The sequence below is a fragment of the Homo sapiens genome, chromosome 8, assembly GCF_000001405.40.
Source record: "Homo sapiens chromosome 8, GRCh38.p14 Primary Assembly".
Classification (NCBI taxonomy): Eukaryota; Metazoa; Chordata; class Mammalia; order Primates; family Hominidae; genus Homo; species Homo sapiens.
The window spans coordinates 7,358,949-7,386,860 of NC_000008.11; the positions used below are offsets into that span (position 1 = coordinate 7,358,949).

General features: G+C 39.3%; 1 protein-coding gene and 1 pseudogene across 1 annotated transcript in view; one reads left to right on the forward strand and one right to left on the reverse strand.

The window, feature by feature from the left end:
- The window catches only part of ZNF705G (zinc finger protein 705G), a 30,042-nt gene extending 3,432 nt beyond the window's left edge, over positions 1-26,610 (reverse strand). Inside the window, exons 1-6 of the mRNA NM_001164457.3 lie at positions 26,550-26,610; positions 22,504-22,653; positions 3,987-4,069; positions 2,162-2,288; positions 1,289-1,384; positions 671-753 (exon numbers count right to left, since the gene is read on the reverse strand). Coding sequence (NP_001157929.1) covers positions 671-753; positions 1,289-1,384; positions 2,162-2,288; positions 3,987-3,998 — 318 coding nt within the window. The 5' untranslated portion in view covers positions 3,999-4,069; positions 22,504-22,653; positions 26,550-26,610. The remainder of the gene's footprint in view (positions 1-670; positions 754-1,288; positions 1,385-2,161; positions 2,289-3,986; positions 4,070-22,503; positions 22,654-26,549) is intronic.
- Positions 14,196-18,700, forward strand: DEFB108C (defensin beta 108C; annotated as a pseudogene).
- Positions 26,611-27,912: the final 1,302 nt, after the last annotated feature.

Here is a 27,912-nt window from a genome sequence, read left to right on the forward strand (position 1 = left end):
TATTGATTGTCTCCCTGCCCCATTTTGCCTATGTTGTCTTATGTAAAATGCAGCTTTCCTGCATTATTCCTCTGCCTCATTTGTTTATGTCATCTTATGTAAAAAAATCCAGATTCACTGAGCCAGAAAAATGCATGAATGACTATTTTTTCTACCCACCTTTTACATGAAAATTGTGTACTTCTCAATATCCCACCCTTTCCCCTTTAAATTTGGAGCCTTCAAAATCATCTTTGGAGAAAGGCATACACCTGTCCCCTGGGTGCATGTCCTTAACTTTGGCAAATAAATCTCCTAAAATGATTGAGACTTGTCTTGTCATTTTTCTCGATTGACAATTGCATACACATTATCTCCTGCAGACACAGATATGTTCTCTTCTGTAACATCTCAACTGCAGCGTTATTGCATAATTGTGTTGATATCAATATCTTTCGATGACTGGGCATGAGCAATGTATATGCACTTGTTCTATTTTAGAGATCTCATGTTATGGTTTAGAACACAGGTCAATGTATTCACTAAATTCAAAGTATCCAATTTTTTTTTTTTGCTTAGAAAACACTTAATGCCAGCTTAATTACACTCAGGTGATTGTGCTTCATTACTAACTTAATCCATTAACATGTCTTTAACTTAGATGACTGGTGTACACAGCTATAAAACTTACCATTGTCATACTGGTGGATGCGTCTTTTCTGGTGATAGGATGCATGGATATCATGTGTGTTTTCTTAAGGGCACTTTCCCTGTCTGAAATAATTGAAAAATAAATTGTTACATTGGTATTATGGTAATAAAATTGTTTGAAAAGCCCCAAAGCCCACGTACTTTTTTCAAAAATTGACACGTAGATGTGGCAAGTGTGTCAAATGAAGAAACTACTTGAATAGAAGAAATAGATTGTACAGTGTCAGCAATTAGAAAATATTTTTAAAATTAAAATGTGAAAAGAGTTAAAATGGAGATGAGATATCAGGCAGGTAAAAAGAGGGATAGTCTTCACAGGGGTATCAGGAAAAGAGTCAGCATATGAAAGTTTAACCCCAGCCAAGTACATGAATTATCCTTTTCCCAAAAGTGAAAGAAAAGAAAAAAAAGAGGACACAAGAGTAGCATCTGACACATGAACAAAATGATAATAACATCTAAGGAATTCTGCTCCAGTAGCCTAACCTACATTTTAGAAATTATCACTCATTTAATAAAACCACTAATTAATATTCAACTGATATTATTCATTGACAAAGCACCTCCTCCTATTAGAGCACAGGACCCTGTTGCTTACTTGGATTCTGGTCTTGAAGAAATACTCTTCCTTCCCTCCACAGCTCTTTTCCTTGCTCCAGCTGCAAAATTATATAGGATTTGCTTATCTGGTACCCTGTTAGTGGAAAGAATACATGTGTTTTGAGTTCACTGTCAATAAATGTGCATTATCACCAAGTGTAATGCAGGCTATCAAGGAAGAATAAAAACAGTGAAGGTCAGCTCAGGCCACAAGACCTAGAACACAGAAAACTCCCCAGGATTTTTCTGACCCAATATGAGACTACAAAATAAATCCAAACCAAAGGTCCATCAGGAAAAGGAAATTCAAAACAGTCAGGACCTATGAATGCTGAGTCCATGCCTAAGTTCCAAGACGCAATGCATAATACACAATCTTTTCAGAAAGAGAGTAATTATATCTCTGCACAGTGTGTTTACTATTATTCTCACGCACAACAAAAAAAAACATTCGATTTACAAAAATAATTGGTGTTCTATATGGAAAAGATATTGCTATTGTTTTCCCTAATTGGTCTCAGCCTAAGCATAGACTAAAGCAGAAGAGTTATTTAGAAAATATTTAATTTAATACACTGAAAACATTCATTAAGTTCCCAGGTCTGTTATGAGTATTAGAGACTGAGTACCAAAGAAACCATGAAATCCTTGTCAAGACTACATTCTAATTGAGTGACAAACTAAATAAAATAAAATAAAAAGAAAGATATTTATTTCAGATAGATTTAGAGAGTTCAAACCTTTTTCAGATGAGATCTGTGAGAGAATCAGAGAAGAGATTAGAGTGAGATATGGGGAAGCTGTTTTAACACTTATTGAATGAATGAGTGAATGTGTCTCTACATATGTACATGAATGTTCAGGGACTCACCGAGGGACACCAGGTGACTGATATTTTCCAGCATCACATCTCTGTACAGCTTTCTCTTGGATGTGTCCATCATGGCCCACTCTTCCTGGGTGAAGTCAATAGCTACATCTTCAAAAGTCAGTTTCTTCTAAAACATCACAGACATTTTAGTTTAGACAGAGAAATTCCTTTCAATGTCCGGAAGAGGAAGGCTGAGATGACATAGCTAGCAGCTGGGTATGCAGAATACTCAGTGTTTTGGGTTCCAGCCAGTTCATTCTCAGTACTAAGCTGGTATCTGCCTTTCAGATTCACTCACAGAGATATACCCACTCTGAATCCATTAAAGTTTACTATAAAGAAATATCACATGAGGTGTGGCATAATATAACCCAGATATTTTTCAGTAATGTGTTAATCACCTCTACATAACTGATTATAAAATTTTCACTTGAACATTCATAAATAAAATGAAATTTACCATGAATTTCAAGTAAATTACAGATTTGTCACAAGGCAAATAACCATGATTTACTACTTCTTAAGCATGACTCTGATGAAATAAATTATTTCTCCAGATGAACCACAGGTTTCTCACCAATCAAATGGTTAAAAGACCTATGATGTGTTTTGAATAATCTAATGAACTAATAGAAAACGTGTTTCCTATCTAGCAAATATTTATTAAATATAAGTCATTGGTCCCTTATTCATTAAAAAGTTAGAAAGTAATGACCCAGACTCCAGCATTCTTCAGAACTGAACAAGCTTTATGCAGAATATAGGATTCAATTCATATATATAGTCTCTCTAATGTTATATAATTCAGGTATTCATGACAAGGCTTAAAGACAGTCTAGCAGCACAAGACAAGACCGCTGAGGCTGCTATACTGAGGAAATCTTAGTCCGATGATTCCTGTGATATGAAGCTTTCTGTTCTCAACTTTCTCTCGGCAATCCAAACATCAGTTATCATCGTTTCTCTTTTAAATTTACCTTCTCACTACACTTGTTCAAAGATTTAAAAAGCCTCTTCATTGTTTTTTTTCTAACCAGCCCTTATAAAGCATTTCCACAGAACCCTAAATTGTACTCTATCTACTATATTCCTTCTTCTGAGTGTGCAACCATAATTAAATAATTATATTTCTTATATGTTACTTTTACTTACCAGAAGGCAAAAAGGTTAATTACCAAAAGGTAAAGTGAATGGGGATAAGAATAATAATGACTTCTTTAGTTGTCCTTTCACAAAGTTTTTAAAAGCTCAAATACATTTTATCAAACTCTTCTTTTCCCTCAACACTGCACAGCTCTTGTCCAAGTCCTATCACACTGGATTTATTGAACTCAGCTGCTAGAACATCAGACTCATTGTTGGGCTGTGATGTTCTGCTCTTCACTCATCTCTATCGCCTGCATTAATCACAATCCTAAGTCTATTTCAGGCAACAGTATAGTTAATGGGTCAATTATTTCCCTATGAGATTATAGGATGGATAGAAGAAAAAGAAATATATAAATGAAACCTCTCATATCTTTTTTTGTAAATAGCCTTAATAGGGGCTGGAATAAAGTAGTGTAATATTAGAAATTATATTGATAATTTCGGAGTCTTTGACACACGATACCCAACCTAGAGTCCTGAGAAAACTTAATGGGGGGCCAGATACCTGAAAGCCTCCTGATTGCATTTGGAACACCCAGGCAGGGTGGATTTTACATCATAAAAACAAACAAACAAAAAAAGAATAAAAATGAAACACCCATGCAAATTGGAGAAAACTGCCCATTTGCCAGCAATATGGGTATAATTTCAGTAGAAAGAGGCATCCCCTACTCACTAGTGAATGCATTGTCAGGAACTCAGTTTCTCTCTGTCTTCCTCTGGATTTCCACTTGCAGACACTTTAGGCACTAAGAAAAGCTGAGGTTGGAGAAAGAACATGTGAGACACCAGTCTTGTGCACAATTTTCAGATCAATCTGTGATGAAAAGCCAGACTTTCACTGAAGTGTGACACCAGCTGCACCACAGCCTAACCAACAGACACAAACATGCAGAGGCCTCTCCTCTTTTCCCGTGGTCAAAATTAAGAAGCCTATGACTATGGTTGCTAATAAAGAAGGAACACAGATATCTTGTGAATGAGAACATCAAAAGCACGGAGTTTTGTATGTTAATTGGCACAAGTCCAGATATTCAATTCCCTCACTGATTTTAAAACACAGGGATCCCTGACTCCATCCACATGTGGAATATGATTTCCACCTATAGATAAACACTGGGATTTCTCAGATTTTATTATCCTAGCTTTATGCCCTAGCAACGTTTCTCCAACACCCACCACAGCCTTCTGAAGCCTTACTCCACTTTTATTTTCACTCAACTCTGACTTTTGTATTTCCCCTTGGAACTTGGAAATAATCAAGTAAGAATCTGTTTTAGGGTGGAGTGTGGTGGCTCACGCCTGTAATCCCAGCACTTTGGGAGGCCAAGGCACGTGGATCACCTGAGGTCAAGTGTTCGAGACTAGCCTGGCCAACATGGTGAAACCCCGTCTGTAGTAAAAATACAAAAATTAACTGGGTATGGTGGTGCTTGCCTGTAATCCCAGCTACTCAGGAGGCTGAAACAGGAGAATCTCTTGAACCCAGGAGGCAGAGATTACAGTGAGCCGAGATCCCACCACTGCACTCCAGCGAGGGTGACAGAGCGAGACTCTGTCTCAAAAAAAAAAATCTGTTTTAGGATGGGGATAATCAATTGAGGGATTTATTTCACTTAGAGGGTCAACACTCCCATCCTGCTAATATAGCCCTTAAAATCTCCTGCATCAGAAATTAGCAGGAGTACCCCGAGTCATGGTGTTTCTCTCCTGTGTATACAGTCACAATCCTCTAGGATGCTCAGAAAATACAAAATGACTTAGGAGAGGGAGAAATTTAGCAGCTCAATCTGATATTTTACTAACGTGGTATCTAAAATTCTTGCAATCATGGTTTATATTAGTCTTTGTTAGTTGCAATATCTCTGATTATCATGATACATATTTGCTGAGAAATACCGATGTCCATGTATACATTCGTACATAGATATGTAGATATATAGGTGCATATGTTTATATGAATGTATGTGTTTGAGACAGGGGGAAACATGCATGTATTATTTCCCTGCTAAAAATATAAAAATAATTAAATATATTTTATGTACAAATGATAATTATGTGTCATAAACAAAAAATTTACTGACCCATTTGTACATGAAGTCCAGGAAAAATAAAAAGAGTAACTTTGTATTAATTGTGACATTGTGCTTACAGATGTACATATATTTCCTTATTTAACCCTCATAATAACCCTGCTGATTACAGTTTATTTACCAATTTAATAAATGATCAACAGAGTTTGAAAAATATGACAAAATTACAAAATTAGAAAATGACCCAGCAATACTTTTAATTATATTCTGCGTGTCGCTGCCTCTTCTTGCTTTTTGACAAAATTACTCCCCTAACCAACGTTCTCTATGATTCTGGGGACTCCAGTATTTAGACCCCAGGTCCCAAACATCATTGTGTCTATTTTTACTGCCACATTTAATGCACATTTACAGACTTCAACAAGCACTTTTCAATATCAACTTTTTTCTTATTCCTTGGACTATTTTCTACATCTGTTCATCAAGATTCCAGTAACATATGACTCCATCTGCCTGTCCCTTCCATGAATGTACCTGACAGTACATGTATTATGTAGTCTATAATTCAAGCAGAACAGCTATTCCTTCAAAAAAATAAGATATTAGAGAATGCCTACAAAGCTTCAGTGAAACCAGCTGTAACCCTTAATATTATTACCAAGTAAACTCTTCCTCGAATATCAAAATAAGATTTGGGCTTTAGAGAATATTTGTGTGTAATTATAACCCAAACATGAATGAAAAGTCATTTAACTGGTCATATACAGACTGTGCCAGGGACAAAGAAAGGACAAATATTATAAGAAAGTTAAAGCATACTTATTTCATAAAGGACTCTTGTGTGGAATCTATAAAAACTATTTCAAGATGTAGAGATTAAATATATTTAAAAACACATACATACACAAGCAATCTTTAGGAGAAACTTAAAAACTTATGTTATGGGTCTAAAATTTTCATTAATTCGTGGAAAAAAATGTATTGACAAACTTTTCACCAGAGCAGAAATAACAACTTATGTATTTGGTGACTTCAAGATGAGAGCCTGCACAGCTTAGTATCTCCCTCCAGATGTCTCTCTCTATTTTTTTTTTTTTTTTTTTTTTGGCGGAGTATCACTCTTGTTGCCCAGGCTGGAGTGCAGTGGCGCGATCTCGGCTCACCGCAACCTCCACCTCCCGGGTTCAAGCAATTCTCCAGCCTCAGCCTCCTGAGTAGCTGGGATGACAGGCTTGCGCCATCGTGCTCGGCTAATTTTGTACTAGACGTGGTTTCTCCATTTTGGTCGCGCTGGTCTAAAACTCCTGACCTCAGGTGATCCGCCAGCCTCCGCCTCTCAAAGTATTGGGATTACAGGCGTGAGCCACCGTGCCCGGCCCAGATCTCTTAAAAAGTCAAGAGGAAGGAACCATTCTGCATCCTCAATATTACCTTAATATTTTAAGGACACCCGTAAAAATTAAGAGGCCGACTTGTGACTTCCTAGCCCTTTCACGGCTATTTAGACACAACTTAGTGAAGTATTAGGAATGCATTATTAGGTCTTAAGTTCCTGGACAACAAAACCATGTTCTCCAACAGATCTTCAGTAAAAATAACTGATGTCTATATTGTTTTGCCTGTCCTTTCCCTTCCTTTAATTCAGAACTGCAGTCTCGAAAAGTGCTATTATTTAGTAGATTCTCTCACTTCTCAACACCAGTGCTATACAATGTTGAATGACATCTCAGGTGCTAGGGAAACAGCAGCTGACATTCTAGCAATGAACAAATAGAAAAGCAAAGATCACCACAGAGTAAAAGAGAATAGATTTTTTTAAAGTATGAAACCAAAACGAATATATATCAGATTACACTATAAATGGAAAATCCTATTATCTTGACGGGATTGCAAGTCAGATTACACTATAAATGGAAAATCCTATTATCTTGACAGGATTGCAAGCCTCTCATGGCTTCCAACATCCAATATATTCAAAGCAGTTCAGGAATGGTGAAAGTGGAATGGAATTTAAAATTATTCTAAGGTTTTATGTGTGAAAGCACCATGCCCTGAAACAAAACATTTATTTTTAAAGTGCATAATGAACACTGCATACAAAGTTTGTGTAACAGGAGAGAGGAAAAATCTCACATTTTAAAAAAAGGAATATGCAACATATTTAGATACAATAAAATAAAATTAAATTAAAATACAGCAATAGAAGACAGAATCTAACATCTGAAAATCAAGGGAGAAATCTATTTTAAAGAAACTTGGCGCAATTTTTAAAGTACATGATGAAAAATAATAATACCTGAGTATAGTACGTAAAAGTACCAATACAATAAAGCTAAAACAATATCCATGGACAAATTATTTGCTGTACGTTATTTTTAAAAAATAATCTAAGTACTTACCTCAATAAGGTAAATGAATGAAATTTAAACATTGCTTGAGAAAATCTGAGAAAGGAGATGAATATAGAGAAGCAGAATATAATTTAACTATAAACCACACAAATAGAATTTAAAAATAAGTGGTAGCCAACATGCCCAACACGATTTTCTGTGATGAAAGAAATTCTCTATATCTGCATTGTCCAATGCAGTAACTACCACACATATGTAGTTACAGAATTTCTAGATTGGCCACGACTTTGGCTATTACTACTAAGGATATGCCATTTAGTTATTTAATTATAATTTATTTACAGTTTATAGTCACATGTGACTAGTAGTTACTATTTTGGCCAATACAGATCTAGAATCTTGGAGGAGGCAGTTAAAATAATGAGATATGGTCAAAACAAAAATGGAAAAGGCACACAAATAGTGAACACAGAATATGAGAATGTGAAGTAACAATTCACACAATAAAATGTAATAATGAGATGCTGCCTTGATGGGACAAATGTCTAATGATATACAAGGCTTGTCTTGTTACAGGTAGAAGAGCATGAGCAGGGCAGGAGAGGGCTCTTCCCCTACCCACTAGAAATGTCAGGTGATGGCCTGTCAATTATCACATTTCCTCTCTAAAAATGATAATTAGGCAGCACCAGAGAGAGGCCGTTTCCTGATGGTCTACACCTGTTAACATCAAAAATGTGAGTTAAATGCAGACCCCAGGAAGAAGCAACTTCTTGGGCGTGCATGTTAAGAGACAAAAATGGCAAAGCATAATCTTCCGGGGGCACGCTCCACCGGAAAAGGAAAGAAAGCTTCAGATGGACATGCATATAACTCCCTAAACACAACGTGCATGCTCAATTTCAAAGGGTAAGGAAAGCACTGTGCATGCCGGAAACTCTCCCTAAAGGACGAATCACGGGAAAGAGGAAAACCCAACGCAGGATCAAGGTTAAAGGCTCTTCTCTTTTCTTTCTTGGACCTTCAGGCATCTGCTCGGGTCTCTTCCAAGAGAATTTTCCTCTCCTTCCTGTTCTAAAGCCTTTTTAAATAAACTTCCACTCCTGCTCTGAAACTTACCGCTCAGTCTCTTTTTCCACTGTATGCCCTTCGGTCGAATTCTTTCTTCTAGGAGGCAAGGACTGAAGTTGCTTATGGACCCATGCAGCTATGCTGCCAGTAACTGGAATCTCTTCTACTGGTAACAGTATCATTGTAAGGGAATGAGGCCAGTTCACATCTCAGTGCTTGGAGAACTCACCAAAAATAAAAAGTTGGAGGATGCAGTGAACTTATCTACCTTCCAAGGCAAGTCCCACAAGCAAGCAGCAAGACTCTTTCCCCAAGGTCTTAAAGTCTTCAGATGCTCCTTCTCTGGGAAAATGCATCCTCTGATTGGCTTCCCCTTATATATGAAAAAAAAATTAATAAACCGAATCACCACTACATTCCAAGAGACATGCCCTGATTGCACAGACACTGAATCTAATCAAAAACTTCATTCTGGAGACACTCCCTGTTCAATCTGATTGGATTTTTGAGACTACTACTAAAAACCCTCACATAAAGTTGGAAACCAAAGAGTTAAGGCTATTTTGAAGGAAAAATATGAACATTAATTCCTTTTTTTAATCATAAGTACTTTTGAGTGTATTATATGTACTAGAAAGCATTCGCAGTCAAGGGATACAACAAGAAACCAGACAAACTAGAGTCTTCTGGAGACTCTATATTCTAAAATTCTTTGGAGGTAAACTGGACTTGAAAACAAATGGAAGGCGAATAGATATAAAAAGTTTCAATGTTCATGATGATGTAAAAAAATAAAATACATTGCAGAAATGAAGTCAGGAAGTATTATAGGGGTCATGTAGTACTTGTAAGACCACTGGTATTGTCTGAAATTCAAGCAGGCTGCAGAAATTTGGGTAACTAAAAGGAAAGCAGATGCTAATAGAAGAAAATGAAGAAAGGGCCTCAAAGACATTTTAGAGACCTTGGCTGGTGGCAGCCCCTCTCCTCAAAGGCCTGGAGGCCTAGGAGGGAAGAATCATTTTGTGAGCTGGGCCCAGTGCAAGCACAGGACAGTGCTCACAGCAATCTAGGTCTCAGCCACTCCAGCTCCAGCCATGGCTAAAAGGGCCCCAGACATTGTTTGGGCCACCGCTTTAGAGGGTGCAAGCCACAAGCCTTGGCAATTTCCATGAGGTATTAAACCTGCAGGTGCACAAGGTACAGGAGTACACTGCTGATAAAGGTATACCTGAGACTGGGCAATTTACAAAAGAAAGAGGTTTAATTGGACTTACAGTTCCACATGGCTGGGGGGAGGCAGAAGGCAAAAGGCATGTCTTACATCACAGCAGGCAAGTGAGAGAATGACAGCCAAGCAAAACTGGTTTCCCCTTATCAAACCATCACAACTCGTGAGACTTATTCACTACCACGAGAACAGCATGGGAGAAACTGCCCCCATGATTCAGTTATCGCCACTGGGTCACCCCACAACATGTGGGAATTATGGGAGTAAAATTTGAGGTGAGATTTGGGTGGGGACACAGAGCCAAACCATATCAGAAGCCTTTGCCTGGATTTCTAAAGATGTATGGGAAAGCCTGTATGTCCAATAGAAGTCTGCTGGGGTGGAGACTTCATGGCAAATGTCTACTACAGCAGTGCAGAGGGAAAATGTGGCGTTGGAACCCCCACAGAGTCCACACTGGGGCACTGCCTAGTGGAGCTCTGAGAAGACAGCCACCATCCTCCAGACCCGAGAATGGTAGATCCACTGTCAGCTTGCACCCTGAGCCTGGAAAAGCTGCAGGCACTCAACACTGGCCCTTGACAGCAGCCATGGGGACTGACCCTTGTATCCAAAAGAAAATAAATTGTTCTACCATAAAGATGTGTGCACTCATATATTTATTATAGCATTATTTGCAATAGCAAAGACATGGAATCAACCTAGATGCCCATCAATGTTACAGTGGATAGAGAAAATACAGTATATGTACACCATGGAATACTACACAACCATAAAAAATTTATGTCCTTTGCACCAACATGGATGCAGCTGGAGGCCATTATTCTAAAATAATGCAGGAAGAGAAAACCAAATACCATATGTTCTTAGTTATAAGTGAGAACAAAGCATTGGTTACACATGGACGTAAAGATCAGAACAACAGATACTGGGAACTACTAGAGGGGGAAGGGAAGGTGGGGACAAAGGCCTGAAAAACTATCTATTGGGTATTATGTTTTCTATCTGGGTTACAAGATCATTCATACTCCTCAGCATCACACAATGTGCCAGTGTAAAAACCTGCACATACATCTCCTGAATCTAAAATAAAAGTTGAATTTTTTTTTAAAATGGGCAAAGATCTGGCTAACACCGTGAAACCCTGTCTCCACTGGAAAAAAAAAAATACAAAAAATTAGCTGGGCATGGTGCCGGGTGCCTGTAGTCCCAGCTACTTGGGAGGCTGAGGCAGGAGAATGACGTGAACCTAGGAGGCGGAGCTTGCAGCAAGCCGAGATCACGCCACTGCACTCCAGCCTGTGTGACACACCGAGACTCCATCTCAAAAAAAAAAAAATATGCAAAGATCTGAGTAGACATTTCCCAGAAGAACAGATACAAATGGCCAACAAATATATGAAAAAAATTCTTACCATCTCTAATCATCAGGGGGATGTAAATAAAAACCACCATGAAATATCACCTGATAGAATAGCTATTATCAAAAAGATGTATAACAAGTATTAGTGAGGTTGTGGAGAAAAGATAACCCTTGTATACTTGTGGTGGAAATACAAATTACTATGTCCATTTCAGATAACAGTATGAAGGTTTCTCAAAAATTTTTTAAATAAAACTACCTGCTGATGAGGCTGCTGAGATATAAGAACACTTTTACACTGTTGGTGGGAATGTAAATTAGTTCAACTATTGCGGAAGACAGTATGGTGATTCCTCAAAGACCTACAACCAGAAATACCGCTTGACCCAGCAATCCCATTACTGGGTATATACCCAAAGGAATATAAATCATTCTATTATAAAGATACATGCACACATATGTTCATTGCAGCACTATTCACAACAGCAAAGACATGGAATCAACCCGAATGTCCATCAGTGACAGACTGGATAAAGAAAATGTGGTATGTAAACACCATGGAATACTATGCAGCCATAAAAAGGAATGAGATCATGTTCTTTGCAGGAACATGAATGGAGCTGGAAGCCATTATTCTCAGCAAACTAACCCACGAACAGAAAACCAAGCACTGCACGTTCTAACTTACAAGTGGGAGCAGAACGGTGAGAACACATGGATATTAGGAGGGGAACAACACACACTGGGGCCTGTTGGGAGGCAGGTGGAGGGAGAGTATCAGGATAAATGGCTAATACATATATGCAATGGAATATTGTTCAGTGTTACATAATAACGAAACCCTGTCATTTGTGACAACATGGATGGACTTGGAGGGCATTAGGTTATATGAAATAGGCCAACCACAGAATGACAATTACTATATGATTTCACTTGTATTTGAAATCTAAAATCGACAAACTCACAAAAGCAGAGAGTAGAATGGTGGTTGCCAGGGGCCGTGGTGCTGGGGAAATGGGTAGATGTGGTTAGAGCACAAAGTTTCAGATATACCACGTAAGTAAGTTCTGGAGGTCTCGTTTACAGCATAGTGCTTACAGCTAAGAATACTGTATTACATACTTAAAATTTGCTAAAAGGGTAGATTTTGTATTCTTACCAATATTTCTTACCAAAAAAATAATAATAATAAAGGGGAGGGGACTTAGGGAGGTGAAGGATATGGTTATAATCTTGATGGTAGTGATGTGTTCATGGTGTATACTTATCCCCAAGCTCACTGAGATGTACACCTTAAATATGTACAGCTTTTTAAATGTAATCATAGCTCAACAAAGTCGGTTAAAATAAAACAAGAGGGGGTTGGTTAAAAAACTTAAAAGGAGGGGTAGATGTTCCCTTGTTTTTTTCTCTTGGCTTTTTTCCTACCTGCTGCCTGGAATTCAAAAATGATAGGTGGGGATTTAGCAGCCAAACTAGAGCCTCTTTTACACTATAGCAGAACAGAGTGCTGGAAGGGGCCTGCATCCCTAATGAATTTGGCAGGTATCTGTACTAGCCATGGTAGGTAGAACTATAGATTTAAGTGAGGGAGAAACAAACTTCTGCCTTGTTTAAGCTACTTTGTTCAGACATTAATTTTATATACATATAGAGAACATATGCTCCTTTATGAGTAGGAAAAATGTTTATGCCATATGGTCCATGATGGGTGTTCAACAATGTAGGATGAGGCTGATTATGATGACAATGGTGACAAATAGCATGAAATAATAAGCAATGAAAATAAGGTGGCCTCATAGTTGTGTATGGTTACTTTATTTAAAGATTCTGCTGCTAATATCATTCAATGTATTTGTATGCTGGTGGGAGTTTTGTTAGATGTAGACTAAGAAAGTTTACATTATTTAATGAAAAATACTTGACCAATTTAAAAAAAAATAAAAATATCATGAGATGGAACTAAGCATCTGTATTGCAAAGTAACTCTCCCAGTTGATTTTCTGCATAGTAATGATTGAGAATCCCCTGATCTAGATCCAATAGATCTCGACCTTTATAGGTGCTATCAAGGAAGCACCTAAGGAAGACAATTTTCCTGACTATATCCATACCTCCAGTTAGTAATAGATCTAGAGATCTAGAACCCAAATCCAAACCTCCTGCCTCCACGTGCGGTGGTCTTTCGCTGTTGTTTTGTTCCACTTGGTGAAGAGGATTTGAGAATAAATAGCCACATGATTCAACTCCCTCCTCAGTTCTGAGGAATATAGCCTTGTCCTAGCAAGCAAGAAGTTCATACAGTAGTGGATGAGGCAAATATACATTCACTAATCTAACATACAAGGCAGTAAGTACTGTAACATAAACAAAGCACTTTGGAGTTTCAGACCAGGAGCAAGTGGGGTGATTAATTCTTAGCAGGGCTAGTAAAGTCTGGGAAGTGTTCACTAACAAAATGTCTGGTCATTAATGAAACCAACTGGTTTCTCAACACAGTCTAATTTATTGTAACAATATAAATGGTTGTTTGTTCATAAACTTTCATCTTTTGCCAAAATGTAGCTTATGTCCCCATTTAACAAGGTTTTCTGGCCAAAACTGTGCACCCACATCATTCTAATGAACTGGCTGTCCAATAAAAAAAAAGGATTCTCAGTCTTCCCATAAAAGCAATTTTGCGTGCATAGAACACCTCTATCTATGAATATCCCTAAGGAGGTACAGAAAGACTCTTATTATCCAAACAGAGACATTCCACTGCTGCTAGAGAGCCACAGACGGAAGTTTTCTCTGCCTCCTGGAAATGAAGCCAAACTTTTTTCTTTCTTCAGCCATGAGGATTGCTGTCCTCTTCTTCACCATTTTCTTCTTTATGAGCCAAGTTCTACCAGGTAACAAAATAAACTTGGTAAGAGTAGAGTGCCTAACACCTTACAGGGATTCAGTACTCAAAGAGAAATCACCATCACCTATGACCAGAAAAGGGGGTCTCATAGGAAACCTGGAAGACTCATTGGCTGAGAGGCCTGCAGCCATCTAATTCGTTAATTCTCCATAGCAACCCAGTTAAATGAAGTCAATGGTGTTTCAAGTCTTTGAAACCCTCTTATTCCATCTCCAAATTAGGCAAGTTTACTAGCAGTTACTAGACCTCAAAAATTAAAAATCAGGCATTATTCTACTAAATTTTTGTCTCCAAAGCTCCTCTTTCGGCAAAAGTCAGTTATCCTAAGAACTGGCATAAGAGCTATGCCAAAGCTGTGGTAGGCTCAGACAGAAGGGATTGGTGGAAGAAGTCTCTTTGAAAATATTACTATAATCTAAGAAATCTTTAACCTATTGCTCCCCGATACTGTTGGTCCCTGGAGCTTGACTTTTCCCCTTAAGGCTCCATCTCCATCCCTGGCTGTCCCTCTTCCTTCTCAGCATCTAGTCTTGTAATGTAGAATTTAAACACAGGAACCAGGGATGATCCCACACCAGAGCATAGCCTACTGCATTCAGCATGCGAACATTAATCACAGGTATAAGGCCCCTTGCACAGACATGCTTTGGAGAAGTGTGTATAGGACTTCTTGGATTGGCCCAAGGTGGTTACCAGATACCCAAAGTAGATTCAAAAATTTTCTGGAACTCCTGAACATGTGTATTCAAGGACGAATAAGCAACTTATTGCCTCTATTTTTGCTGTTTTATAGAGAAAAAAATTAAGGCCCTGGAAACTGAACTGTTTTTCCCAACAGTGGGGTAAATGTCAGAGTCAACACTTTGTTTTAATATCCTGGCTTTCCCTATACATCCCACCCTAGAGTTCTGTTGTGCTGTTCCTTTGTATTACTTTCTAAAGCCTGAAAAAAGGTGATACCATATCCAATTATATTAACTCGGTAGCACACAACATCGGGGACTGACATAAGATTATTATCCTTGTGGCATTACTGAATTCCTATCTCACTAGTACTTGTTAAATAGTCATCCTGGCTAAATACATGGGTTTGATTTTTTTAATCAGTTAAAAATATTTTAAAATATGTGTCTTACATATATAACCCCAGAAAATCAATGCTTTTAATCAAGGTTTAAAAATTCCAAATTTGGATAAACACATTTTGTTTTGTTTTGTTTTCACTGTTACTCAATCAAAATAGAAGCAACTAATTGGATAGAACAGCACAGGCAGAAGCATGACTCACAGTCAAAAATGGGATGCAACAAGCCTGGAGAAGAAAACACAGGATGGTGCTAAAGAATGCACCCTAATGAAAGGTGGCATCTCCTCTGGATGTCCTTAGGTAGACATTGAAGCAGAACTGCCAACTTTTTGTAGAAGGCTAGAGAGGAGAGGAGGACACAGAGAGAGGGCAAGAGTGGAAAACAGAATGAGGCTCAGAATACCAAGCCTTAGTGCTGTCCCTATCATCTGCTTCACTCGATCACTGGGTAATCTTGGGCAAGTTTCTTCCTTTCCATCAGCTTATTTCCTCAACTTTAAGGTAGGTGACTAGACAAGACAGCCTATGTTCATTGTAACTCTATCTTTTGTTCCTAAAGCAAATGGCCGGAAAAGACATAGTGTCCACAATATGCAATACACAAGGTTTACAAGAAAGAACAAATGAAAACGAAAGATTTTTAAAATCCCTAATGTTACTTGAATTCTTACAAATGAACAATGGTACATCATAATTTTAAAAAGTCTTTTGTAATTTCAATTTTTAAAAATAACTTCAACCTTTATTTTAGATTCAGGGAGTGCATGTGCAGATTTGTTACATGGGTATATTGTGTGATATTGAGGTTTGGGGTATGAATAACTCTGTCACGCAGGTAGGGTGTGCCCAAAGAGTAGCTTTTCAGACTTTACTCCCTCTCCCTCCCCTCCTGGTAAGACCCAATCTCTCTTGTTCCCATTTTTATGTCCATGTGCACTCATTGCTCGGCTCCCCCTTATAACTGAGAATATGTGGTATTTGTCTTCCTGTTCTTGAGCTAATTTGCTTAGAATAAAGTCCTCCAGCTGCACCCATGTTGCTGAAAAGGACACAATTTTGTTCTTTTTATGGATGCATAGTATTCCGTGACATATATGTACTACATTTTCTTTATTCAATCCACTGTTGATGAACACCTAGTTTGATTCCATACCTTTGCTACTGTGAATACCACTGTGATGAACATACAGATTTAGGTCTTTTTACAAGACTGATTTATTTTCCTTTGGATATACACCCAGTAGTGAGATTACTGGGTCAAATGTTAGTTCTGTATTAAGTTTCTCGAAAAGTGGTTTGAAAATATAATGCTCAATAGAATCAGGTATAGTAAAATAGTACACATGATTCAAAGACCTCTGAACCGAGAGTAACAACAAATTTCTGCACAAACATATTGCAAGTTAGAAAATAGCTGTATTTTAATCAATTATTCCACAATCATTTACTGAATAGCTATTATAAGCCAAGACTTTAATCAGATTCTGGAATATACATACAGAGGAGAATAAGATACTATTCCTGCCCTCAAGAAATTCATTATCAAGAATTGAGGTCAGATGGGAAAACACCACCCATAGTAGAATGCAAGAAGTACTACCACAGAGGGATGTTCAAGAGTGATTTATCACATATCACAAGACAGGTCAGTGGTTCATCCTCTACACTATACTAATCTCTTATGACTCTTCCAGCTGCAAAGGGCCAATTTTAGCACAAGGCCAGTGGGCTTGGGTACTACTATATGTAGTAGCTGACTACTTACAGATAAAAGGAAGAGATGGAAAGCTCAGGGATCAAAAAACTCAGATTTCAGCTTGTTTCTACCAAGTGGTCAACATTTACAATTACCATTGTCTTCAGAAAAGCATGACCTTTATTTCCCAATTTGCATTACAGATATAAATATGATGTTGCATATATTTGGTCTTCACATCAATCCACTAACTGCTTTGTGACCATTGAAAAGTTAAATGGAATCTAATACATTTGGATTTCAGGTCAATTAAATAGGCATTTATTGAATGTTTATTAAAATCGCTGTACTGATTGAAAGCTATTCTAGAATTGGCTTTTGTGTTCCAGAATAGAAAAAAAAAAGTGCTGGTTTTTATACCTCTCTTACTGCCAAGAAGTTATCATGGAAAAGGTGCTCTGTGTTACATACAAAGACTGCTCAGAATTAAAACACTTTTCAAACTCAGTACCTCAGAGTGTGTGGCCTATCCCCAGAGCGGTGATATCTTAGGACATAAATGAAATACTATTCAATGTTTTCAACAAGTATAGTTTTTGAGCCTTTAAGAAGACCTTGAATGTTTCACTCTTAATATATGCAATGGTTTCTAGAGAAAAATTGCAACCTCAAAGACCAGTGCCAGAGATATGAGTAGTGAGTGAAGTCTCAGGGTGTAACAAGTAATGGCACAGATATATTTATGTATTAAACACATAGGAATATTGTTCCCTTCCACAGGAAAAATATCCTCTCTAACAATTGAAGTATATTATCTTTTAGGTCTATATTTCAGTTCTACTTTTGAAAGATACATCTATTATAATCTATCATATAGAGAGAGTGTGTGTGTGTGTGTAGGAATAAAAACAGCTGATCCAAAAGAGATTTTCTTCTCTTTCACTCCAGGAAAATCCATAGTACAGGACATTATATTTTCTTAAAAGGCTGACATCTCCCATCAGTGTTAGAAGACAATAAGGAAGAAATAAACTGAAACTTGTATGCTCTAGAACTTGTAAAGGGAAGCAGGCTACTCACCTCCAGCCTTTTGTCATGTAGGTGCACCCAATATTCTCAGATTTTTCAAGAACACCAAAAAATCCAAATTTTTGTGTGGCAGCAGATTTTTAAGTGTTTAAGAAATCAAATAACACACACACACACACACACACACACACAGACACACACACAAATCCACACAAGATTATTTTCAGGCACTGCCCCCTACGTCCATGTAATTCAATACAAAGTAAAGAAAGACTGATGAATGGTTACAATAACCCCTTCTGCATGTAGCCAAGGGCAAATTCAAGGAGATCTGTGAACGTCCAAATGGCTCCTGTCGGGACTTTTGCCTCGAAACAGAAATCCATGTAGGGAGATGTTTAAATAGCCGACCCTGCTGCCTGCCTCTGGGGCATCAACCAAGAATTGAGAGCACTACACCCAAAAAGGACTGAAGCCTGTTGTTTTCTGGAGGTTTTAGGTTCTCTTTTTTCTCTCTCCCTCTCCCTGTCTCCCTGTCTCCCGTTCCCTCTCTCCATTTTTCTCACAGGGATTTTTATTGAATCCTCAAAAAAGAATAAACCAAAACCAACCAGCACAAAACCTCTTTTAAAAGTTTATATTACTGGCTGGGTGCGGTGACTCATGCCTGTAATCCTAGCACTTTGGGAGGCCAAGGTGGGTGGATCATGAGGTCAGGAGATCAAGACCATTCTGGCCAACATGGTGAAACCCTGTCTCTTTTAAAAATACAAAAATTTAGCCAGGCATGGTGGCGGGCACCTGTAATCCCAGCTACGCAGGAGGCTGAAGCAGGAGAATCGTTTGAACCCATGAGGTGGAGGCTGCAGTGAGCCGAGATCCCAACACTGCACTCCAGCCTGGGTGACAGAGTAAGACACTGTCTCAAAAAAAAAAAAAAAAAAAAAAAAAGTTTATATTACATGTTATGACTTGATTACTGTTTGGTTTCCAGTATCCTTCTATCCCATCTAGATGAGCTCTTAGTTGAAAATGACATACAGCAGGGTGGGGGAACTTTCAATCATACCCATTGCTTTTGTCTAGCACTGTAACCCTTCACCCTGCATGTGGGAAGACCACTCCCCTTTTTTACTAGGAAAATGCGCCATCCTATTCCATGCAGCCTTGCGGGGGTCTGTCTCTCCCTGATAAAGGTGCAGCACATGGGAAAATTGCACAATCACGTCAACCAGACTTCACCAGAAATCTAAATTATAAAAAGAGTTGCACTCAGATTAAAGGCAATTTTTTCAGCACCCTTTTCGGAGGCAATTCCCTGGGTCTGTACATGTATGCCTGGCCAAGATTCAGGGAATTCCTTTGCTTCCCAGCTTTCACTGGGCATAATCATTCAGCATTTTCTTCCATCTTTTAAAATACTGTATTGGCTTCCTACGGCTCCTATAACAAATTACAACAAACTTAGTGGCTTAAAGCAACACAAATGCATTATCTGACAGTTCTATAGGCTGCAGGTTTCAGATGGATCTCAGTGGGCCAACATCAAGGTGTCAGCAGGGCTGAGCTTTCTTCTGGAAGCTCTGCAGTTTTCTTCCTGCACCTTTATCCCAGCAATGGCAGGTTACTCCTGGGCACCATAGCTTCCTTCATACATTTTCAAAGCCAGCAACGGAGCGTTGAGTCCTCACATTCCATCATTCTGAATTCATCTTCTCCCCACTCTTCCATTTTTTAGGACTCATGATTACATTGGGCCCACCTGGATAATCTAAGATAATCTCCCTATTTTAAGGTCAGGTGATTAACAGCCTTAATTTCACAGGAAACCTCAATTCCCCTTTGCTTACACGGTGGCACATTCACAGGACCCAGGAGTTAGGATGTGGATAGCTTTGGCGGGAGACAGAGGGGACATTATTCTGCCTACAACAGCCACTGAGTGCTTTTACCACCTGTCACAATTTTCCTCCATTTAGACACAACTTTAGTGGCTTTGTGTGAAGAGATTCTCATTCATAGAGTTTTCTTTTTTGTGTAAAGTAGTGGGGGGCCTCCCCTTGGTCATTGAAAGAGTATAGAATCAAGATATTTAAAAGTATGTTAGCTGGATTTTATTTTTCACTATGCCTGATTTGGCCAAGAAACAATGTTAAGTTATGTCACATGGACTACTCGAAATCTCAAAAAGTTCAAAACATTGGGTTCAAAATCTCGGAGATTGAGATATATTCCAACCAACTCAACCCTATGGAAGTGCCAAGTTTTCCTCAGTGCACTCTTGAAACTGCATCACCAACTGTCCCTTTAATATATTTTTGCACTATATAACATTTATTTCTTAGAAAAGAAGCAGTTTGGACACGTATATTAAAGCCGTCACATAGAATATTATCCTCTCATTGCTAGGAGGCGGTCTTCAAGATGGCTGACTAGAGGTACCAGGCACTGTGTCCTCCCAAAGAAAGACCAAGACAGCAAGTAGATAATCATACCTTGAAGAGGGCATGAAAGAGGGCACTAGAATTCAGCAGCAAAGTGATGAGGAATCTCTGAGGTATGGAAGGAAGGAAAATGAAGCAGCTGCCCAGCCAGAATCAGCTTAAAGCCAGGACAGGCTCTCCAGTGTGGTGAAAAGGTAAAAAAGAGAGCCCCAGTGGTCCATATTCCCACTGTGGACACTGCAATCCTAGCCAAGGGACAGTCTCTCAGCCCTCGCAGGCCCTGAGACTGCTATAGGGAGCTGCCTGGAGTCTAGGTGATGGTCATTGTCCCAGAGAAGGAGTTGGCACTGGATCGTCTGCACCTGCCCCCAGACACAGGCAGCTGTGGCACAATGCCAATTTGAGAGCCCAGCCCCCAAAAGACTACATCCTGCCCTGGGGCCCAACAGCCCCTGCATCTCCACATCTCTGGACCCTCAGTGACATTCCCTCATGTCCATCCAGAGTCCTGCAGAGTCACAATACCAGCTGAACTCACCAGTGTAGCTTGGTCCCCATCACTCTAGCCTACACAGTGTCCTACACTCCAGGGAACTGGCAGTGCCATTCACTAGGGAGGCTGCCCCCAGAACAAAGGGAGCTGAAGCAGGCACTCTTCTCAAGTGGAGAGTCACCTTCCCAGGACCACTGACACTGACAGCAATCCTGGCCCCCAGGAGCAGGGCCACTGCACACCTGCAGGCATCCTCAGGGGACCTGGGGACTCACCTGCCTGAGCACTATTCCAGGGCCAGAGCACAGGCCCATCCCACCCATTGCTGTCACTACCACTACCCAAGGTCGTTGTCCAGGAGGCTGGGGATCAACCCACACTGCTGTCTGTCATTGGCACCTGTGCATGCCTTCTTGTGAACTGAGTATGAGCCCACCCAGCCTGGTGGTGCCTGTGCACATTGTCTGGGAGCCTGGGAATTAATCCACCATGCCTATCACCATCAAGTACCTGTGTGTCTCCTGAGAGCTTAAGGATAGGACTTCCCAGCCTGCCATCACAGCTGTCACCAGTGCCCACATATTTGCACCAGGTGAAAGCCTGAGGACTACTCTGTCCATCATGTTGCCATGACTGTTGGTGTCTGCACATGCCATCTGGGGTCACGAGAGTTGACCTGCTATGACTACTGCAATTGCTGATGCTACACATGCCTCCCAGGGTCTTGAGGGCATGCCTATCTACCGAGCTCACCACTGTCACTGCTGGCACTTGAGAAAGCCACCTGACTCACGCCTGTAATCCTAGCACTTTGGAAGGCTGAGGGGGGCAGATCACCCGAGGTCGGGAGTTCAAGACCAGCCTGACCAACATGGAGAAACTCCATCTCTACTAAAGACAAAATTAGCTGGGCATGGAGGCGCATGCCTGTAATCCCAGCTACTCTGGAGGCTGAGGCAGGAGAATTGCTTGAGCCCAGGAGGCAGAGTTGCAGTGAGTTGAAATTGTGCCACTGCACTGCAGCCTGGCCTACAGAGCTAGACTCTGTCTCAAACCACCACCAAAAAAAAAAAAAAAAAAAAAAAAAAACACAACACATCTTTGCCGTGATGTCTGGTAAACAGAAAGTGGTCAGCATTATTTGTTATTAGTATTAGTGTTGTCGTTGCCATTGCTTTGATTCACATGGAAATGGTTTGTAAGCTGTGATGCCTACTATTAATGTTATCTATCACAATTGTTAGTTATGTCTGGTATCTATTGCAACAACTAGATGAATGTAATCTTGGGAAAAAATTTTAAATTTCTTTAAGCTTCTCTCTCCTGATTTGTAAAATGAAATTTGTTGTACATGCTGTGTTTTTCTCAGCTATGCAGCTGTTCAGTTATTCCATATTTCAGTGCTTCCTTGGCTGATCAATCAATTTGGCCTACGTCAGCTCCAAGGGCATCCACTTCATCATCCTCCAGGTGGACTTGTAGCTTACCTGAGGCTGTTTGTATCAGACATCCAAGAAGGAGAAAGAGAAGGAACAGCAGTGTCATGATGGGAAATGAGTGGTCAGGATTATACGATGACCTTACAGCCTGAAGGTGGCTCTTTCTTCAGTGTACATCAATTGAGGAGGACAAGTGATCTGGGAATGAGTTTGAATTCAGCTGGGAAACTAACACAGGAATAGAAAACCAAATATTGCACATTCTCACTTATAAATAAGAGCTAAGCATTGAGCAGACATGGACATAAATATGGTAATTATAGACACTGTGAACTACTAGAGGGTGGAGGGAGGAGTTGGGTTAAAAAACTACCTATCTGGTACTATGTTCAGTACCAGGGTAATGAGATCCATACTCCAAACCACCACATAATACCATATTCCCATGTAACAAATCTGCGCATGTACCTACTGTATCTAAAATAAGTTGAAATTTTAAAAAAATGAACATACATAGAGTAAATGGATCTTTTTTGAAATAATTTTGGGTAACTAATACTTAAATCCAGAAGCAGCAGTTTATTGCACTTTTGTTTCATTTTAGCCAATTTCTACATGTATGTGGCTAAGCACACAAGGGCGTGATACAAAAGTGGCAAAACAGATCTGCTGAGCTACCTGCAAATGCCTTTCAGAAATAAAATAAAGCATCCTTTAGTGGTGATGCTTCTTCTCAAGAGCAAATGACTCCACTCAAAGTAAATCACTGCAAAATTTAAAAAGAAGAAGAACAACAACAACGACAACAATTCATCTAGAGAGAAAAAGCTTGCATTCCTGATTCAAATGTTCAAATTATGGCATGGCTGTAACCTGAGAATGTTCCATCTATGGACTCATGATTACAGATCCAAGTCTCCTCCTATTCAAATAGAAAGTCTTCACAATAATTTTGCATTTTCTGGTGGATTTTCATTTCTGCTTATGGCTCTGAGGTTTGGTGCCTTTTTTCCCCAGAATAAATTATTATAAAATAGTGATATTGAGGATTCATCCATTTATTCATTTATCCTCATTCATTTCATGTCTCTGCATCTATCAACTTTCCTTTTGGAAATATAAAGAAAACCACCCTTTAAACATTTTTTATTTCTTCCATTCTATAAAAAAGTTTATTTTTAATGCCAGACCATGTAAGGGCAGCTATTTTAAAATTGCGTTTTGATTAAAATTGCATTTTGAATTCATGCAAGATTACTTTCTGTCAACTGCCTCTTTCCACACATCTATGGATTAAATTAACCAACATTTAATACCACTGACATTACCTTATTTCAAGATCTGAAAGTGCTACATGAATCATTAAGGAGAGGTTAAATTCTCTCTCTTCTTTTCAAATTTCAGTAGTTTTTGGGGTACAGATAGTTTTTTGTTACATGGATGAATTACATAGTGGTGAATTCTGAGATTTTAGTACACCTGTCACCTGAGTAGAGTACATTGTACCTAATAGGTAGTTTTGTATTCCTAGCCCTGCGGCCTTCTGAGTCTCTAAAATCCATCATATCACTCTGTATGCCTTTTTGAACTCATACCCTAGCTCCCACTTATAAATGAGAGCACTTGGTTTTTTGGAAAACCACCCATTTTAGAAGCTAAAAAAGGAGAAGAAATTCTGTAAATGGAAATTACATTTTTTCCTTGGTTGAGTTCAATGTTTGATTTTTTTTTTTTTTTTTTTTTGCTACCTGGTTAAAAGCGATAATTCTAGGCAGGCTCTTACCATGTCAAACTTCTGCATAGATTACAACTAGGTGACACATTAGGGGCCAAAGAGTTTCTTAATCATGTAGTGCAATGCATTTTTATGGTAAAGGAATTAAACAGCAGAAAGTATACACGGTAAAACACTGAAATTCCTCCTTCTCTCTTTCCCCTCCACATCTGTGTTGCTTTATATTGTTTCTACATCTCTCTTCTTCTCTACACTGTGAGCTTCTAAAGTAACAGGCACTGTCTGATTACCTTACTTCCTCAGCCCCTGAGAAGTACCTAGCAGAGACGAGGTACTCACGTATTTGTTTAAACAAATGAAACTTGAATGAAAGAATCAATACATGAATGAATAAATTGACAGAGGGAGGAAGGAGGTAAGGAAGTGCTGTGGCCTGAATGTTTGAATATTTGTGTCTCCCCATTCATCTGTTGAAATGCCAACCCCCAAAGTGGTGATGATATTACAAGGTGCGGGCTTTGAGGAGGTGATTAAGTCGTGGAGCTGAAGCCCTTGTGATGGGATTGCTGCCCTTATAAAAGAGGCCTGAAGGAGCTCGTTTGTACCTTTCACCACATAACAACACAGAGAAGGAAGCGAGCTCTCTCCAGACACCTATGCCGGTGTCTTGATCTTGGACTTCCAACCTCGAGAACTGTGAGAAGTAAACTTCTGCTCTTTATAAGCCACCCTGTTTATATTACTTTTTAATAGCATCCCAAATGGACTAAGGCAGGAAGGAAGGAAGAAAAGAAGGAAGGAAGGCAGGGAGGAAACTCAGGGATGCATACCTTTCGACCTCTCTAACAGTGGTCACCCTACATTAATAATCAGTATGTGTTGAGAAGCCAAAAGGTAGATTGTTGATGAGATGTAGACATCAGAGAAATCAGCCAAGCTCTGATGTAAGCTGTGGTCTTTGCAAAAATAGAGACAATTTTTTTTTTGTACCTAAGAATAAAAGAGCTCTAAAGTCAGATAACCCTGGTTTCAAAACTTTTGCTCTGCCATTCATCAACTGAGTGATCTTGTGCAAATAATTCAACCTTTCAAAGCTCCAGTGTCTCCTGTTTATTTGGTGATGGCTATAGTGTCAACCTCCTACTGTTTGTCTCAGGAAAAAAAAAAATCTTAGGAGGAGTCAATTGCTACCCAATACCTATCCACACAGAGTTGTGTTTTAACTAGGATCACCACAAGAGTTTCAACCCCATCAAAAAGTGGGCAAAGGATGTGAACAGACATTTCTCAAAAAAAGACATTTATGCAGCCAACAAACATGAAAAAAAGCTCATCATCACTGGTCATTAGAGAAATGCAAATGAACCTAACCTGTAAGAGGAACTTTTAAGTCAACTTCTGGATACCTGAAATCACACAAGATACTACTTTCCTCCATAAAGCCTGGAATGTCTCAAAAAAATCCCTAAAATTTAAAACTTAATAAGGACAACTTTGCCTTTTAGGGCCCATGGAATTAGAGGCTGGTAGGGAAACTTTGGCCATTTTGGGTGTGGGAGAAAGATGGTCGTAGATAAGGCCTAAAATTGTAGGAACACACTGAATTTCACTTATTAAATGTTAGCATAACTTAAGTTTACATAATTTAATAAAATAATATAGAAACTCCTCTGTCACTCCAGTAAGAATGAACATTCTTGAACACCTATCACGTACCATGAGTCTTGAAAGTGGTATCTTAGTTGACATAACTTTTATATGAGATAGATATTTTCTCTGAGCAAGTCAATGCAGGTTATACAACTAGTGATTGAGCTGGGATTTGAACTATCCACAATCAAAACTTTTGCTTATTTTACAGTCTTTCTTGCTAAAAAAGAAAGATAATATTTTTTGAATAAAGGAACACATCTCTAGTGAGATAAACTAGTTCTGTGTGTTTGACAGCAATAGAGCTTGAGGTTCAGAGAATGAACAGGGTCGTGCATAAAAGGTTGTCTGAATTGCACTTCCCTAACAAAGGGGGAAAGTCTGCATCAGGTGGGTCATGGTGGGCCAAGTGGGTAAAGGTCAGTGCTCCTTAATCACTTCCCAAATGTTCCGCTTCTTAATACTATTGCATTGGGGATTAGATTTCAGCATGAATTTTGGGGGAGAGACACAAACACTCATACCACAGCAAATAATGATGGTGATAATACTACTGATAATAATAATAATAATAATACCACTAGAAAGTAAAGTGGAGGCTGAAATCTGTTGTCTACATTCCTGTCTCCTACACTTACACCCTGAAAGCAAGCCTCTTTATTGCCTCCCACCCCTTATTTAAAACCAGTTGGCCCTACTGGAAACCCACCTTGCAGTTGGTTCCTCCACCCTCCACAGGCTGTGTGCTGTATGTCCCTTGGGACAAGGACACCTGAAAGCAGCTCCAGTGACCACATAATTAGGGGTCATATCAATGGGCAGAGGCAGAGCTTAGTGAGGTCATGCAGAAGGCATTGTGACCCTATTGACAGAAGTCAGGTTTGAGTGGCAGTGAGGGAAAGAAGGGTGGTAGGATGTGGGGACTCTGTAGCACCCCTTTCATAGGGTTTCCCTGAAAAGCTGGGCAAATGCAAAAGATGAGAGCTCTTGTGTGTCCAATAAGTGTTTTTCTTTTAGTTGGTATAGATGCAGTAGAGGGGAATAAGAGATAGATTAGGTGAGAGAAAGAATTGCTGGAGTCCTGATGCGATTTGGCTCTGTGTCTCCACCCAAATCTCATCTCTAATTGTAATCCCCACATGTCAAGGGAGGGATCTGGTGGGAGGTGATTAGATCGAGGAGGCAGTTTCTCCCATGCTGTTCTTGTAATAGTGAGTGAGTTCTCATGAAATCTGATGGTTTAAAAATGGTGCTTCCCTCTTCTCTCTCTCTCCTGCTGCCATGTAAGATGTGCCTACTTCCTCTTTGCCTTCTGCCATGATTGTAAGTTTCCTCAGGCCTCCCCAACCCTGCGGAACTGTGAGTCAATTAAACCTATCTTTTTTTTTTTTTAATAAATTACTCAGTTCTTTATAGCGGTGTGAAATGGGCTAATACGAGTCCTGTCTATGAGTAAGCAAGGAAATGCGATCTACGACCCTTTCTCTCTTCTTCCCTCTTTACCCTTCCCACCTTTGTTCCCTCCTTTCCTCTCTCCTTCCTTCCCTCCCTTTTCTTTATTCCTCCCTCCCTGCTTTCCTCCCTCTCCTTTCCCCCTCCCTTTCCTTCTTCCTTTTTCCATCCCTTCTGTCTTTTCTTACCATTCTTTCTCTCTCTCTCTCTCTTTCAGTGCCCTGTCTTTTTTTTTTTTTTAACTTCTCTTTCAATACATGCCGGGACAAAATAAAGGAATAGCGAAGCTAAAGTCATCTGAAAGCCAAAGTTGTGATGGAGAACAGTGAAGAGACCACATGGGGCACTTATGGCAAGGGTTCACCGTATAAAGTGCCCCAGGCATATATTATGAGCTTCTCTAGGTGCCCCAAAACTCTTCCATTTAATTATAAAAGGATATACTCGTAAAGAGATAGCCAGAATTTCTATCCTTGAAATAAAATTAATCATTTTACTTCCATTTAAAATGGCACTTATCCCTTAAATATAGGCACCCCAGTCTTGCCAAGAAAAAGCGATGGGATCATCACAGGTAATTTCAGTCTGTTAGGTTGGGCCATGAAAACATAAAACTCTGA